Raw genomic sequence first — 16,275 nt, 5'->3', positions numbered from 1 at the left:
TTTTCAGTCGATTCACAGGGCAAGGGAAATGGGTTTATGGCCTAAAGGTGCATGCAGAGTGCGCACTAGCATATTGATAGGAACAGCTGGGGTTTTTGATCTTTTAGAAGATTTTTAATGTGTTTATTCCAGGGTGATCTCCCACACTGCAGCTGTTTAACTTTCTGCTCAGAGGCAACCTGCAATTACCTCCACACCTAACTACCACTCACACATACGACTCACACACACACCACTCACAACCACTCACAGCCACTCACACATACCACACACCACTCACCCCTCACACACACCACTCACACACACCTCACACACACACACCACTCAGTACTCACACACACCACTCACACCACTCACACTACTCACACCACTCATACACACCACCCACACACACTGTTCACACAACACACACACCACTCACAATCACACACACCACTCACACAACCACTCACATACCACCCACGACTCAACACACACACCACTCACACAACCACTCACATACCACCCACACGACTCAACACACACACCACTCACACAACCACTCACATACCACCCACACGACTCAACACACACACCACTCACACAACCACTCACATACCACCCACACGACTCAACACTCACACACCACTCACACAACCACTCACATACCACCCACACGACTCAACACTCACACACCACTCACACAAATATACCACCCACACACCACTCACCACTCCACACATACCACTCACACAAACCACTCAAACCACCAACACACACACACCAGACACACACACACCCCTCACACACACCACTTACACACCACTCTCACACACCATACACACCACTCACACACGACTCACAACCCTCACACACACCACTTACACACATGCAGGCATGCACTCTCAAACCAGATACACTATTCACACCACTCACATACCACACATACTGGCTGTGCCTTCTCGGTTGCTGTCTGTGTGCCTTCCCTGTCAGCAGGTGACAAGCATCTGGGGGCACAGTCAGCCTTTGCTCACCTTAGCATTTATCCCTGAATGAACAAAGGAGCGAGTGAACCTGTCAATGGTAGACACCTCCCAATAATATTGGAAGAGATTGAAGAAGTCCAGCTGTTCAGGCTTCTCGAAGCATCCGCTTTCCTGCTAGCCCTGGCATTTCCTCCTACCAGCAGGACCCTTGCAAACAGGGGTAGTGGGGGGAGCCTTCCATCACTCCCGAGGTCTTTCTCGCCAGGCCTGCGTGTTGCAGCTTCTGTTATGAGGGCTATTTTAGAAAACAGCCTCCGGTAGTCACCAGTGTAGAATATGCTGCTGCAGGTTGTTTGGAAGGCTGAGGCTATTTTCAGCTGCAGGACCAGCACTGCAAGCCTCGAGCTGCCTGAGTGCAGCAGCCCCCTCTGGGGCTCCAGGCCTGTGTCCCCACTGCAGTGGCCCTGGATTCCGGTCAGGACAGGACACGTTGTCTTGTGACCATGAGGGGCTTCCTTACGCTGGCAGGAAAGGCCCAGGGCCGCCTGGATTGGGAAACCCCTGCCTGCTCCCTGGGAGTGTAGAACGAGTCCCAGGATGCTGCCCTGTCTGTAGTTAGAGGGGCATGGATAGGAAAGAATGTTTTGAGTTCAAGCTTTGAAATAGAGACTTGACCATAACATGACTTTCCCCCCCATTTCATGTGTTTATTTTTTAACAGCTTTATTGAGAGAGAATTTACATATCATGCATTTTAAGTACATGATTCAACAACTTTTAGTATATTTACAGACTTATGCAACCATTACCACAGTCTAGTTTTAGAACATTCCCATCACCCCACAAAGATCCCTTTTGCTTGTTTGCAGTTAATTCCCATTCCTACTCCCAGCAACCACTGATCTGCTTTCTGTCTCTAGAAATTCTCTGTCTCGGGCCATTATTTCGTAGAAATGGGCTCATGAAGTTACAAAGCTTTCCAACTAACTGGCAGACAAGGTGGGTTTTGGGGGGATCCAACTATTAATGGAGGGGGATTGTCTGTGATGATTCCAGATTCCTATAAACATTTCATGTAAGGACGCAAAGCATACTTAAAGGAACTTCAGGGGACAAAATGTGTATCTTTTCCCAACTCGGTTGTGGGGTGGGGTCCTTGTGTGCAAGGCTGTGGAGGCCCTTCCTGCGTGCACTCTTTCTGTAACTCAGTAACAGAAGTTTGCAGAGTGCCAGCCCTGCCCCAGGAACACCTGGACACCGAGTCTGTGCCTGTCTTCTTGTGCCATGCAGCCTTCCTCTGGGCAGGGAAGAGCACATGAGTGTAAATAACTGGAGTGGCCTCTATCTGGTTTCCTCCCCTTGGCCCTCTGGGAAATCCACTTCCAACCTGTCCTAGCCTGGAATAGCTCTTTTCAGCGGAAACTCTTCCTTCAAGCACCATCTCTTCAGCTTAAACCTATCTATCTGTTCTTGTTTTTGTTTGTTTGTTTGTTTGTTTGTTTTAACTTTTTTTCTTACAGACAGATTCTAGGTGTGTTCCCCAGGCTGGAGTGCAGGGGCTCGATCATAGCTCACTTCACTTTAGCCTCAAACTCCTGGGCTCAAGCAATGCTCCTGCCTTAGCCTTCTGAGTAGCTGGGACTACAGGCATGCATCACCTCACCCAGCTAATTTTTTTTATTAGAGATGTCTCACTATGTTGCCCAGTCCGGTCTCAAACTCCTAGTCTCAAGTGACCCTCCCACGTCAATGTCTTAGAGTCACTGGGATTACGGGCATGAGACACTGTGCCCAGCTTGTTCTGTTCTTCATCTAGAATTTAAATTAGTTAAAATTCTAGCTTTAACCAGAATTCTAGATTGTATTTCTCGATAATCATGTGTTCTTCCCATTTTTAACCTAAAGAAAATGCCTACCTCACCCCGCACCAAACAGACACACACACACACACACACACCTTTTAGATTCTATTTCTAACTTCATCATCAGGGTTATCAACTTCTCTGAGATATTTTGCATTCTTTACTTTTATTATTTAGAGTCTGAAGATGCTCATGGTAAATGCAGATTATAGAGCTAACTTTTTGCACAAAAAGCCCACAAAACAGTCTTTGAGAGAGCATGTCAGTGTTACGTTTGGATTTTAAAAGACAGTGAAGCTTAGCTGAGATTCTGTTTTACAGATTTTGCGAATAAATAAAAAGACAGATTCCGTTTGCTCTGGACTGTGTTAGCTGCAGTGCGGAGGGCGGAACCGGCTGAAGGAACTGCTGTGTATTTTCAGCACATCTCAGTCAGCTTCCGTTTCAGTCTTCTGTTTCCATCACCCACACAGGCATATTCAAGAGTTCCTGCTACATCGATGTACGCTGGTTTCCCTTTGATGTGCAGCACTGCAAACTGAAGTTTGGGTCCTGGTCTTACGGAGGCTGGTCCTTGGATCTGCAGATGCAGGAGGCAGATATCAGTGGCTATATCCCCAATGGAGAATGGGACCTAGTGGGTAAGCCATGAGACTAACCGCCTGGAAGAAAGCTTTCCTATTCCTGGGCAAGCTTTAAAAGTTTGGGATTTTCCACTGTCCTTTCCGGTGCGAGCATTTATTGAATTTTGCAGTAGTCTCCATAATTTACTGAGAGCTACAGGAGGAGAAACAGAAAACAGTTAGGATATGCCATGCTTTCCAAGAGGAACTGGCAACTGCAGTGAGGATGCATTTAAACAAACCAGTGTGAGGATAGATCTCTCTACGTTATGCAGATCCACTCCATTTCTAAAAGCAAGTTGAACAGCAAATTTCAGTTGATGGGAACCTATATTTGATTATTTTAAAATAGGAAAACAGTGATTACATTTATAACAGTGTAAAATTGGTAATGTATTATTTATAATTATTATAATCATGTGTTTCCAATCCACCAAAAGAATATGTACCAATTTGGCCAACTATCACTAAAATACTCTTAACTCTATAGTAAATCAACAAGGTTTTATTCAAGCTAATTACAACCCCCCCCTTTTTTTTTTTTAGCACTTTGCAAACTTTAGGACTGTGCTTGTGTGTGGTATACACATTGAAATAAACAGGGTAATTTATTGTATTCTAACAATGGCTCCTTCTCTCCTCCTCCCTATGGAGGAATCCCCGGCAAGAGGAGTGAAAGGTTCTATGAGTGCTGCAAAGAGCCCTACCCTGATGTCACCTTCACAGTGACCATGCGCCGCAGGACGCTCTACTATGGCCTCAACCTGCTGATCCCCTGTGTGCTCATCTCCGCCCTCGCCCTGCTGGTGTTCCTGCTTCCTGCAGATTCCGGGGAGAAGATTTCCCTGGGTAAGCGCCCCAGTGTCTGGCGGGAGTCTGAGACTGGAGACCTTCTGCTGAGATCAGCTCTGGAGGGCTCACAGCAGACAGCGCAGGACTCCATCAGGGTTCCTGGGGATTCCCTGGCTCATCCCATGGACCTCCGAGCCCACGGTGGCTCCAGGACACCAGAGGTCCCTGATTCGGGCTCCGTGCTGGACGGCTGTGTAATCCTGAGAATACTGGAGGACCCTCAGAGGATGGGGGATGCACAGGGAGGGGGCCAGCTCCATTCTGCCTTGAGAGGCCTGTGCTTTCTTCCCTCCTGCCACCCCACCTGTTCCTCAATGGCGACTGGTCATCGAGGGAACAATTTAGCTTAGTATCAGCTTGCATTTGTATGTTACAGTACCCAGTGTAATTCTTACAATCACTCCCATACGAAGCTAAGGAAACCAAGATTTTGAATGGTGGAATGAGTTTCCCAATGTCTTAAAGAGTTGCTAAACATCAGATGTAGGATATGGTAGAAATCATTCCCAAACCCATATCTTCTGAGTATGAGGTTCAGAAAGGTTGAATGTTGTATCTAAGGTCACATAGCTAGCTGAGTAGCAAACGTAAGACCTGAAATCAGGTCTCCTGACTGCATATTTTCTTTTTCCTGCTACGTGAAACTACTTCTCAATAATATTTTACAGAGAATATGAAAGATAATTGTGCCAAGTTAAATTTTTCAGTTTGTGTTGATGCTTTTAAAATTCTGGGTCCTAAACTTGTCTCCATAAGAGACTCCTTTGGGACTCTGGTAAGTGGCATGGAACGTCCCCTGGAAAATGCACACGCCCATACATAGGGAAAACGTGCATTCCACGACATTCCCCCCAGCGCCTCCCTTTCTTTTGAGTGTCAGGTTAGGAGCCCTCGTTAGACAGAATTGAGGCCTTCTTGTCTGTTTTTGTCTGAGGAACCGCTGTGTGTTTATGTTTTAGGGATAACAGTCTTACTCTCTCTTACCGTCTTCATGCTGCTCGTGGCTGAGATCATGCCCGCAACATCCGATTCGGTACCATTGATAGGTAAGGCAAGAGTTGGGCTCCTCTCTTAGAGATATGGGGTTAGGGTTAGAGTGTGCCCAGGATTTCCCAGCAGATGAAACTAGAAGAAATACGGCTGCACTGCCCCCATTTTCTCTGGAAGGTGATGATTTGCTGTAACTATTCAGAGTCACCCGGGCCCAAGTAAGGGGAAGGGGATATTCAGCTTTGAGGTTTGACTTTTATCTCACAGAAATGCCCCCCTTCCCCTCATAATTCTCCTCCTCATGCTTGCTTTGAAGCCAGATATTTCATCGTTAGAGATGCATCATTTTAGCTTAAGATGTTGTTTTCCCACAAAGCCTTTGTTAAAATGGGAGAAGCACACAGTTACTGTGTCCTGAGATAACTCAATGTCTCTGTATAAAAGTTTCTAGGGAAATATGAATGAGAAAAATATATTTTGCACAGGTATAAGGCATGATCCTCTACCCAGGGAGGGACAACAAAAACAAGTCTCCACTCCCACTGGGCAGGGAAGGTTGGAAGGAGGTATACAGACTGTCATTACACCTGCTGGCCCCTGCTGTTTGAGGACCTATGCTGTGTCTACCTGGGGGTGGGCTAGAGGGAGAGCCCTACCTGGATACCCCCAGGCTTTAGGAACCAAGCAGCAAAGGCCCTTCTTTGTGGAACTCCCTGTATGTGCAGTATTTTGGCCAGAGAAACTGTTGGTATGAAAAGCCTTTGTGGGTATCATTTTTCTCTTGGTACCATCCAGACAGGGAAGAACCACCTTTCCACCTGATTCTGACTCCATTCTTTCTACCTTCCAGCACACTGCTTTCAGTAGAGATTTGCAGCCTCCCTTCCGGGGGCAGTTGTCAGGCCTTCTCTCTCTGGACTGATGACCCGCTGGGAAAGGCTTGGTTGGTGCATAGCCCACATCTCGAAGGATGGGATGTTGATGGCCCCAGGGACATCAGCTTTGCTGCCCTCTGTTGATGGAAATTCAGTCTGGGCAATCCTTTGACCCCCATCTCTCCAGAGGTGGTTGGTCTGCTCAGGCTGCCGTGACAAAATACTATGGACTTAGGGGCTTAAATAACTAACAGAAATTTATTTTCTCACAGTTGCACTGCTGAAAGTCCAAGACCAAGGGGCCATTAGGGATGGTTTAACCTGAGACCTCTCCCCCTGGCTTGCAGACAACCACTTTCACAATGCTTTGTCCTCCCCTGGTAGTTCCTCTGTGCACCTGCATCCCTGGTGTCTCTCTGTGTGTCCAAATTTTCTCTTCTTCATTAAAAGAACACCAGTCAGATTGGATTAGGGCTTACCCTGATGACCTAATTGTACTTAATTACCTCCTTAAAGACCCTATCTCCAAGTACAGTCACATTCTAGGGTACTAGGGGTTGGGGCTTCAACATATGAATTCTAGGGGGAAGCATAATTCAGCTCATAAGGGTCACGGTTTGCTCCAGTCTCCTTCCTTTTCTCAGGGGCCCTGATGCTAACTTTAGGTCTCAAACTTCCAGCTCTGGCAGAGCTCCTCCCAGGTACCTCTTGGTCTTTGTAGGAAGGCAGTGAGTTCCTTCCTGGCGTGAGGGCCTGTGAGGGCTAGCTGAATGCTTAGCGCCCTGCACTCTGATGCTTTCCGCTTAGAGTTCAGCCCCTTGAGTGGACAGCCACACCAAAGGTTTAATAATTAGAGCTGCCCACTAAAGAATGCCCCCTCCTTTCTCCTAGACATCTTGGCCTGTGTAATTGCTCATCATTGCACAAATCCTGCAAGGAAGAAGTTCCTATTTTAATGGAGGCTACCGTAACAAATTGCTGTAGACTGGGGGCCTAAGCAACAGACATTTATTTCTCAGAGTTCTGCAAGGCTGCACGTCCTCGATAAGGGTGGCAGCAGGGCTCTGGTGAGGGGCCACTCCCTGGTTTACAGCTGGCCCTCTTCTCGCTGTGGCCTCACGTGGCAAAAAGAGAGTGAATTAGCTCTTTAGCCTCTTTTTATGAAGGACTCTAATCCCATTCATGAGGGCTGCACCCTCAGGACCTGTTGAAGGCCCCTGAGAAAATCAGTCACCATTTCTCTACTTACACAACACTTCTGACACCAAAGCGGGGCGTTTCTCCCACATCGACCAATTCTTGGAAACCAGCTGGGCGTCCTACAGTGAGTTCACTTCAGTCCTGACACCACCTGGAGTTAGCACAGCACTCACAGATTAAGGCTCACAAGACCATTTCTACTTGAGATGCCAGTTAGAAGTTCCGGCTTCCCATGCTTCTGACCAAGTGTCTATAAATCGGGGAGTTCCCAAAAGCACATCTTTGAGTTCAGCCATTTACTAGAGTGACTCACTCTAGTAAACTCAGGGAAACATTTTACTGATATTTATTCATTAATTATAAAGCACAGATGAATAGTCAGATGAAAGAAATGCATAGGGCAAGGTATTTGGGAAGGGGCATGGAACTGCCATGCCCTCTCTGCCCTCCAAACACCTCCCCGTGTTCAGCACTGGGAAGGTCTCCACAGAACTCCATCCTTTTGGGTTTTTATGGAGGCTTCACTACATAGGCATGATTGATTACATCATTGGCCACTGGCGATCCACTCAACCGTCAGTACCTCTTTCCTCCCCAGGGGTCAAGGGTTGGGAGAGGGGACAGAGCTTGAAGGTTCCAACTCTCTAATTACTTGGCTAGTTCCCCTGGCAACCAAACCCCATCCTGAGGGTATCCAGGAACCTCAGCCATAAATCATTTCATTAGCATATAAAAAGACACTGATGACTTCAGAGATTCAAAGGTTTTAGGAGCTGTGTGCCAGGAAATGGGAGGAAGACCAAATACATATTTCTTATTATAAATCACAATCTCATACCTCCCAAAGCCCCACCTCCAGATACCATCCCAGTTAGGACTAGGGTTTTAACCCATGAACTTCGTGGGGACACAAACGTCATCCTTTGTACCACCCCCATTGGAGAGCTGAGGCCCGAAGAGGCTGAGCATCCACTCCAAACTCACAGCCAGTAGCTAGTGGACCAGGATGGAAGCACTCAGATGCTCCATGCTGCCCCTCACCTGGGCCCAGGTGGAAGGACACCCATGACCCATTAGAACCAAAGCTGAGACTGAAGTTCTCGTCCTGAAAAGTCCCTGCCACTGACCCCTTCCTCAGGCTGGACAGCTGGCAGCCAGGTGGTGTGCAGGTTTGCCCTCATTGTGCCCCTGGAGCACAGTAGAGGCCTGCATCATGAACACTGGATGGTTCCCATGCCCTCACATCCAGTATTTACCCACAGGAACAAGCTTATCACCATCCTGCCAGGCGATGCTAGCTCTTATTGACTGACAAGTCGGCCAGAGTGCATGGAAGTGCAATGAAGTGAGGGAAGGTCACTCCGTGGGCGGGAAGTCAGACCACACTGGCTGGTTTTGCCCACCCAGAATGTGGGCTGCAGGCCTGGACACATGGGCATCACTGCACCCTGAGGCCCTGACGGTCAGAGAACCTGATCAGGGTGTGCCTGTCCTGTGACGTGCAGTGCCACAGGATCCCCGGGTCTCACCCTGCATCTGTTCTCTCCACAGCCCAGTACTTCGCCAGCACCATGATCATCGTGGGCCTCTCGGTGGTGGTGACGGTGATCGTGCTGCAGTACCACCACCACGACCCCGACGGGGGCAAGATGCCCAAGTGGGTACGTTCCTCCCACCCCCGATGGAGTCGGAGCCCCGCTGTAAAGGAGGCTCCTCCTAGGGTTTATTTTTAAAATCACACAAAAAACGGGCATTCCTAAAGAAATAGCTTTGGGTTTTTTGTTTGTTTTTTTGAGACGGAGTCTCACTATGTCACCCAGGCTGGAGTGCAGTGGTGTAATCTTGGCTCACTGCAACCTCCACCTCCTGGATTCAAGCAATTCTCCTGCCTCAGCCTCCCAAGTAGCTGGGACTACAGGCGCCTGCCACCACACCTGGCCAATTTTTTTTTGTATTTTTAGTAGAGATGGGGTTTCACTATGTTGGCCAGGCTGATGTCGAACTCCTGACCTCGTGATCTGCCCACCTCAGCCTCCCAAAGTGCTGGGATTACAGGTGTGAGCCATTGTTCCCAGCCAGAAATAGCTTTGTTTCTGTATTTCGTCACCTATTGACGTGTCTTTGTGTAGTGTGCAGTCATGGTGCACGTGTTCCCGGATGCCCCGTGGCACTGCTGTCTAATCTAACTGCAGAGTAGAGTAAGGCTCTCAAACTGGCTGCCCTGTGTGTTCTATCAATCAGCACGGTGTTTTGAGAAGCTAGTTTGTTTTTTGATGCATGCCGTGAAGCACTGTGCTGCAGTTGGAAGCAACAGATGAGACAGATGCGTAGCAACATGGTTGAGGCTTCACAACAGAATGAGGAGCAAAGAGTAAGAAACAGAATGAGCTGTGTACAAATATGTACGTTCAGTACATCTAGGGATATCATCCAACCAGAAGTCTATGAAACAAAGACTAATTGTCACCAGTGCAGAAGGGGGAAGGGATAAAAGGAAACGGATGAAAACAGAAAGGATGGCATCCCACAGCCTGTCAGCTTAGCCTGGGCCATACCACTCCTGCCCCAGCTGCTGGCACCGTGCCCGGCCACATCTGCGGATGCTCACCCACCCAGGGATCCTCTCCTGCACGGTGTCCAGAGCTCTGCATCCACCCTTGCCTGGCAGTCAGGAAACCTTGATGAGGGCCTAGGGAGGGCCTGAGCTTCTTCCCCTCTTCATGTGAGCTTTGTAAAGCTTCCCCGTCCTCCTGTCTAGAGAGCCTGGCCTAAGGATTTGGGGAGCTAAAAAGGCCCTCACATTCCAAAAGTTGTCTGTCTTTGGAGAGCACTTGTGTCCCAGTTCAGAAGGGAATCTAGGAATCACCAACAAGCTAAATGCAGCTGTAGGGGGTGAGATGCTGTCAGGCACCCTCCAGGAATAGGGGATTGCTGGGCCTCCTGAAACAGTCATTGTGGAGTTGTTACCTGAATGCTCACTTAGCAAAGACTGCTTCTTAAGAAATGCTTTACAAAATTACTGTTTCTTCTCAGAGTTTCACCCACATGGCCCATTCCCCTTATACACTATTTAGTAAAGACTTACCTGTGAGCCCACCACAGTGGTGTGTGGCTGTAGTCCCAGCTACCTGGGAGGCTGAGGTGGGAGGATCATGTGAGCCCAGGAGCTCCAGGCTCCAGTGAGCTATGGTGGTGTCATTGCCCTCCAGCCTGGGTGACAGAGCAAAACTCCATCTCCTAAAAAAAAAAAAAAAAAAAAAAAAAAAAAAAAAAAAAAGACTCACTTGTAGCTCATTACACAAGCAGTAATGTGAGCTCAGCCTACATGGTGATGTCTCACACACAGACCACATCACTACATTCCCTGAGGCTTGTTTTGTGAAGGCCCCCCCTTAAAACACTGGGGTACATTTGCACACATTCACCTGTATTTTTGTCTGATTTCCTTATAACGCTGACCCACACTTAAGAAAATGCAAGGCCAGAGGTGAGAGGCCTGAGAGCTGGAGGCTTGTTGGTTTGCTGCTCTTTCTGTCTGTCCATCCATCAGTTTGAAGCAGGTAATACATTTACCTGTTTCTAAAGTCAAAATAAAATTAAAATTATACATAAGGAAATCCTGCTCCCATTCCTTCCCCTTTACCCTGCATCTACCGTCAATACTGATAACCGTTTTAATGAATTCCTTATTTTTCCTTCTAGTATTTATTTATGCAAATACAAAAATCTAAACATTCTCATTTCTTGTAAGTATTTTGACTGATGAGAAGATAAGAGAATTAAGACATTGAGACACAAAACCATTTTTAACGACCTGGAGCACTCTACTGCTCTAGAACAATCTTAATTAAGAACATATGCTAATTATTCACCTCTCAGCATAAAAGCTTATTAAAACCAATTGGCTGCAAATGAAAGATGAAGCTTATGCATTTCTCTTGCTTTATATAGCACACTGCATTTTTCTTTCATTCCATGTGTATGTGAAACACAAACAGCCTCCGAGGGACTTTTATTATGATCTGTTGCTATGAAGAAGATACTGCCGGGTGCAGTGGCATTATGTGACATTTGCACAGCCAGAAACAAAACTGTAGCCTAACAGAAGAGGTCAAGAGCACAGTTTGAGGAGTGCCAAGAGGATAATTTTATCTTTTAAATGCTTTGGCTTTGAAAGTTAATGATTCAGGCCATGGAATTCAAAATGGACTTGGCAGAGTGTATCGTATGAGCTTGAGATGTGCACTGGGGGACGTGTAGACCCTGCCATGGAGGGAGAAGTGCCTGGTGCTGCTCGCTCCCTGTGTGCACTGCTGCCACTGGATGCAGGCACACTCACTGCCCTGCAGCCTCCCAGGAGAGCTGGCTCAGGCTTTCTGGTGCCTTCCCAGAGGGGTGGGGTTGTGCAAGTTTTGAAGAGAATCTTACAGACCCTTTGACAGATGAGACTGGGAAAGGCTAAACATGTGAAGTGACATAACCACTTACTTACTCATTGTACATCGTTGGGCCAGTTTATTAGCCTCTTTGAACCTCAGTTTGTTGGTCTGTAAAGTGAGGGGATTATACTCATTTCACCGGACCCTGAAAGGCCCAAGTGAGATGACTTATCTCATGAGCCTTGTATGGACGGCCCAACTCACCCAAGGTTTCACCTGGGGCCATATGTCCCTGCTCCTTACTGATCATAAAAAACCCTCCAAGGTCAGCAGACCCAACCTTTCCAGGACACGCAGAGTGCCGCCTGCTTGTAAAGTACAATGGGAAACAAAGGGTTATTTTTATAGCTGCAGTGAAACTGGTCTTGTGCTTCCCTGTTCTTGTCCCCAGACCTGTTTGTTGCAGTTATCTTTGATGTTATAAAAAGATGACCAAGAATGAAAGCTCTGCAGATACGAACTGCACAATTTACTATCTGTATATTTATTTCCTAAAGATAGGAAATAAACCTGTTAGGTTACTGATGGAATTTCCCCAAAATCATAAAACAAAATGTAAATGAAATCAGGATCTGGATAATTTCAGGGAAAAGGCCCACTTTTCATACACTTTACATGGATGGGCTTGCAAGAATGCTTCTTTACCTGGATTGAGGCTTCAGTTGTCTCTCTTCTTTCCATGAGAGGCAAAACCAGGATAAACTCCATGGTGATTTTTCTCCAGCTTCTTTCATGCACTCTAGGACACACTTTAGACCAGAAGTTAGCAAATTATGGCCTAGGTGGCCAAATCCAGTCCACCAAGTGTTTTTGTAAATAAGTTATTTTAGAAAACATGCCCATCCATTTGACGCCTTCAATGTGTGCTACATCAGCAGAAGTGAGTAGTTGCCTGGCCCTTTACAGAAAGTTTGCCAACTTCTGCCTTCAACTTTTCAAAGTACTCTCCCAGACATCATCTTATTCGGTCTTCATTGAAGCCTACTGAGTTAGGTTAGAGGTTCCGAAACTGCCTTGGTTCACAGCACGTTAGTATCTCAGGAAATTTTTCACAGAGCCCCTGGCCAAAAGAAATAATACCCAAGGCTCTCTTTTTAAATAGATCAAAACACTTTAATAAGTATTTGTGCCTTAACAATGTAGCACCTATGGGGCACGGCACCGCCTCTCAAATCTTGGGATCAGATTGGAGACCACTAACCTAGTTTCTGTTTCACATGAAGTTCCTTGGTGTTTGCTTTTTATCAGGGTACTTTGAAAAACAGCTTTGCAAAGTGGTCACGTCATCACAAGAGATGTGGTAATCTGATGTTGGAAGCCTGAACTGCTTCAAGCTTCAAGTTTACCTGGTGTCTCATGGATATCCTGGGATTGCATTTGAAAATGTACAACCTCCCCCAGACACTCTTTGCGAATTTGCAGTGGCCTTCCAGGGCACCTAACAGGTAGTGTGGGAGCCAGAGTTAGATCTGAAGGTCCCCGGGTTACAGATGAGGAAGGATCAGAGAGGGAAATTGACTTTCCCTCTTTACACAGCTCAGATAGCCTTCCCCTTCCACGAAGCTGTCTTCCCTGAGATTGCAGTGTGCCTGCCCCGGAGAACAATTTAGCTTGTTCCCAGGGTGCATCAGTTTTAGTCTTGCCTCACGTTGAACTCGACTGCTTGTCATACGCAAGCACTGCTTGCCTGCTAAAATCATCCGGGAGGCAGTGGAGGCTGCTACCCCCAGGACCAATGAAGCAGGGCTTGTATTGTAGGATCTTACTGCTGTTGGGATCAGCCCGTGTCCGCCTCAGGGCTGCTCTTAACGTTCTGTTGTCTCCCCAGACCAGAGTCATCCTTCTGAACTGGTGCGCGTGGTTCCTGCGAATGAAGAGGCCCGGGGAGGACAAGGTGCGCCCGGCCTGCCAGCACAAGCAGCGGCGCTGCAGCCTGGCCAGTGTGGAGATGAGTGCCGTGGCGCCGCCGCCCGCCAGCAACGGGAACCTGCTGTACATCGGCTTCCGCGGCCTGGACGGCGTGCACTGTGTCCCGACCCCCGACTCTGGGGTAGTGTGTGGCCGCATGGCCTGCTCCCCCACGCACGATGAGCACCTCCTGCACGGCGGGCAACCCCCCGAGGGGGACCCGGACTTGGCCAAGATCCTGGAGGAGGTCCGCTACATTGCCAACCGCTTCCGCTGCCAGGACGAAAGCGAGGCGGTCTGCAGCGAGTGGAAGTTCGCCGCCTGTGTGGTGGACCGCCTGTGCCTCATGGCCTTCTCGGTCTTCACCATCATCTGCACCATCGGCATCCTGATGTCGGCTCCCAACTTCGTGGAGGCCGTGTCCAAAGACTTTGCGTAACCACGCCTGGTTCTGTACATGTGGAAAACTCACAGATGGGCAAGGCCTTTGGCTTGGCGAGATTTGGGGGTGCTAATCCAGGACAGCATTACACGCCACAACTCCAGTGTTCCCTTCTGGCTGTCAGTCGTGTTGCTTACGGTTTCTTTGTTACTTTAGGTAGTAGAATCTCAGCACTTTGTTTCATATTCTCAGATGGGCTGATAGATATCCTTGGCACATCCGTACCATCGGTCAGCAGGGCCACTGAGTAGTCATTTTGCCCATTAGCCCACTGCCTGGAAAGCCCTTCGGAGAGCTCCCCATGGCTCCTCACCACCGAGACAGTTGGTTTTGCATGTCTGCATGAAGGTCTACCTGAAAATTCAACATTTGCTTTTTGCTTGTGTACAAACCCAGATTGAAGCTAAAATAAACCAGACTCACTAAATCCTTTCCAATAATTGACTGGTGGAAGGAAAACAAAAAACAAAAACTAAAAACCTCTTAGCTTTTCTGCAATTCAACTTTTTATTTTTATTTTTATTTCTATCAAAGACGGTAGAGAGAAACAGCTTGATGCTGTTTCTACATCAAAAAAAAAAAAAAAAAAGACAGACTGTTGGTCTTACTAAGGATGTTTTTACCAGCCTGCCTGACTTCTGCAAACCTACCCTGTCAAGGAGATCAAAGGGACGCAGGTTTCTGTTTATTCTGAACAAGGGCCAGGCCCCGCGGAGTGTCTTTGGTGGATCCCAGATAACTCCTAGGTGCTGCTCTCAGACACTGAGGAGTTGAGCAAATCTGTTCTATTCTGCAGAACCCATAGGACAAATAAGAGTTCTACTAGAATTAACAGCCCAAAAGAATAGCTACAGCTAAGTGAAGCCACTTACGTGGGCTTTAAAAAAATAATGTGTTAGCTGATTCACATGCACTGGAGTTAATTAGTCTTAGAAATGTGTGCATCCATACAAATGCACAACATAAAGTGAACATATTCCTAGGCCCTTTCTGCCTGTGTCAGGGCCAGGAAGTAGAGGCTGGGAACTCTTCTGGTCCCCAGTATGGCAGGCGCCAGGGAGGGGATGGTGTGGCCCATCCCTTCTCTGGATACCTGGCCAGTGGCAGGCAGCAGGGAGGAGCTGGCCGACCCTCAGTGACTGACAAGCCAGCAATTCTGAGTTCTGGCCTTTGGGAGTCTGCCTGCTCCAAGCCAGTCCACCCCAGCTGCAGCCCCAAAAGCTGGCTCAAAGTCCTTGGGTGGATTCACTGGAGATGGGCAACTTAAAACAAGAGAAACTTTAATTTTTAAACCTAAGTGATGATACAGCTCTTCCCTTAGATTATCGCCCAGGCTGGAGTGCAGTGGCATGATCTCAGCTCACTGCAAGCTCCACCTCCTGGGTTCATGCCATTCTCCTGCCTCAGCCTCCCCCCGAGTAACTGGGAATACAGGCGCCCGCCACCATGCCTGGCTAATTTTTTGTATTTTTAGTAGAGATAGGGTTTCATCATGTTAGCCAGGATGGTCTCATTCTTATTCTTTAATGAGATCAGAGGGTAATTCACCAAGAAAGACCTCTCCTGTTCCATTGTGTCATCCAACAACTGCTCAGAGCTCAAAATTATAGAAGGCTTCTGAGCCCCTAGAGATTTTTAATTTGCTTCTAATCCCTGAGGTGGGAACATCATGAGGGAAGATTTGATTTTCAGAGTTAAATAAATTGTATGTGCTTTTCCAGCCATCTGGCTCACTCATTTCTGGGTAATGCACATGACTTTGTTTGCACTGGAGGAAGATGGAAGCTTGCGTGTGTGCGGTGTGTGTGTGTGTGTAAGTGTGAGGTACCTTGTGTGTGACAAGAGACCTCACTTACGAGAAAGTTGGTGGATCAGGACATTCCAGCCTCAGGCGGCTTGGAGCAGGATCATTCCTCAGCAGGCATTCCTTCCACATGCTATGGATGAACCATGCACAAGATTTTCGGTTTTTTTTTTCTGTTTTGATATATAAAAGGAATGCTTCATTTCTTATCATTATCCCAAAATTGATCCCTCCCACATTTTTGCTTTAAAAAGAAACCTTTTTGGTTTTGTATTTTATACAGGAACACAAAATGCAAACAAGTTGTGCATATTT

At 47.5% G+C, this 16,275-nt stretch overlaps 1 protein-coding gene and 1 long non-coding RNA gene across 10 annotated transcripts in view, besides 2 other annotated features; one reads left to right on the top strand and one right to left on the bottom strand.

Moving 5' to 3' along the window:
- Nucleotides 1–15,880, top strand: part of CHRFAM7A (CHRNA7 (exons 5-10) and FAM7A (exons A-E) fusion) — a 33,335-nt gene extending 17,455 nt beyond the window's left edge. For 3 of the 5 annotated variants that reach the window (XM_011522153.3, XM_005254750.4, NM_139320.2), the window contains 5 exons: nucleotides 3,301–3,468; nucleotides 4,105–4,299; nucleotides 5,262–5,348; nucleotides 8,919–9,028; nucleotides 13,635–15,880. In XM_011522153.3, coding sequence (XP_011520455.1) covers nucleotides 3,301–3,468; nucleotides 4,105–4,299; nucleotides 5,262–5,348; nucleotides 8,919–9,028; nucleotides 13,635–14,153 — 1,079 coding nt within the window. In that variant the 3' untranslated portion in view covers nucleotides 14,154–15,880. The remainder of the gene's footprint in view (nucleotides 1–3,300; nucleotides 3,469–4,104; nucleotides 4,300–5,261; nucleotides 5,349–8,918; nucleotides 9,029–13,634) is intronic. The other 2 variants (NM_148911.1, XM_011522155.4) reach the window with 2 other exon arrangements.
- LOC105370751 (uncharacterized) lies at nucleotides 1,652–13,635 on the bottom strand. 5 transcript variants are annotated; one of them, XR_007064547.1, is made up of 6 exons: nucleotides 12,452–13,635; nucleotides 10,793–10,946; nucleotides 10,453–10,604; nucleotides 7,417–7,518; nucleotides 3,487–3,604; nucleotides 1,652–3,407 (listed from the first exon to the last, which is right to left on the bottom strand). It is a non-coding gene; the product is annotated as an uncharacterized LOC105370751 (long non-coding RNA). The 5 variants fall into 5 exon arrangements; XR_007064550.1 differs by lacking the exon at nucleotides 3,487–3,604 and having other exon boundaries at nucleotides 7,402–7,518; XR_007064549.1 differs by lacking the exon at nucleotides 3,487–3,604.
- Nucleotides 8,392–8,892: an enhancer, noted in NCBI's record as "H3K4me1 hESC enhancer chr15:30659757-30660257 (GRCh37/hg19 assembly coordinates)". NCBI's record gives its function as "activates a minimal SCP1, AML or CMV promoter by ChIP-STARR-seq in primed H9 embryonic stem cells {active_cell/tissue: H9 hESC(primed)}" and the evidence as "EXISTENCE:reporter gene assay evidence [ECO:0000049][PMID:30033119]".
- Nucleotides 8,893–9,393: an enhancer, noted in NCBI's record as "H3K4me1 hESC enhancer chr15:30659256-30659756 (GRCh37/hg19 assembly coordinates)". NCBI's record gives its function as "activates a minimal SCP1, AML or CMV promoter by ChIP-STARR-seq in primed H9 embryonic stem cells {active_cell/tissue: H9 hESC(primed)}" and the evidence as "EXISTENCE:reporter gene assay evidence [ECO:0000049][PMID:30033119]".
- Nucleotides 15,881–16,275: the final 395 nt, after the last annotated feature.

The sequence above is a fragment of the Homo sapiens genome, chromosome 15 (genome assembly GCF_000001405.40).
Source record: "Homo sapiens chromosome 15, GRCh38.p14 Primary Assembly".
NCBI classification, from domain to species: domain Eukaryota; kingdom Metazoa; phylum Chordata; class Mammalia; order Primates; family Hominidae; genus Homo; species Homo sapiens.
Note: the sequence above shows the minus strand (reverse complement) of the source record. Positions and strands in the feature narration are given on the sequence as shown.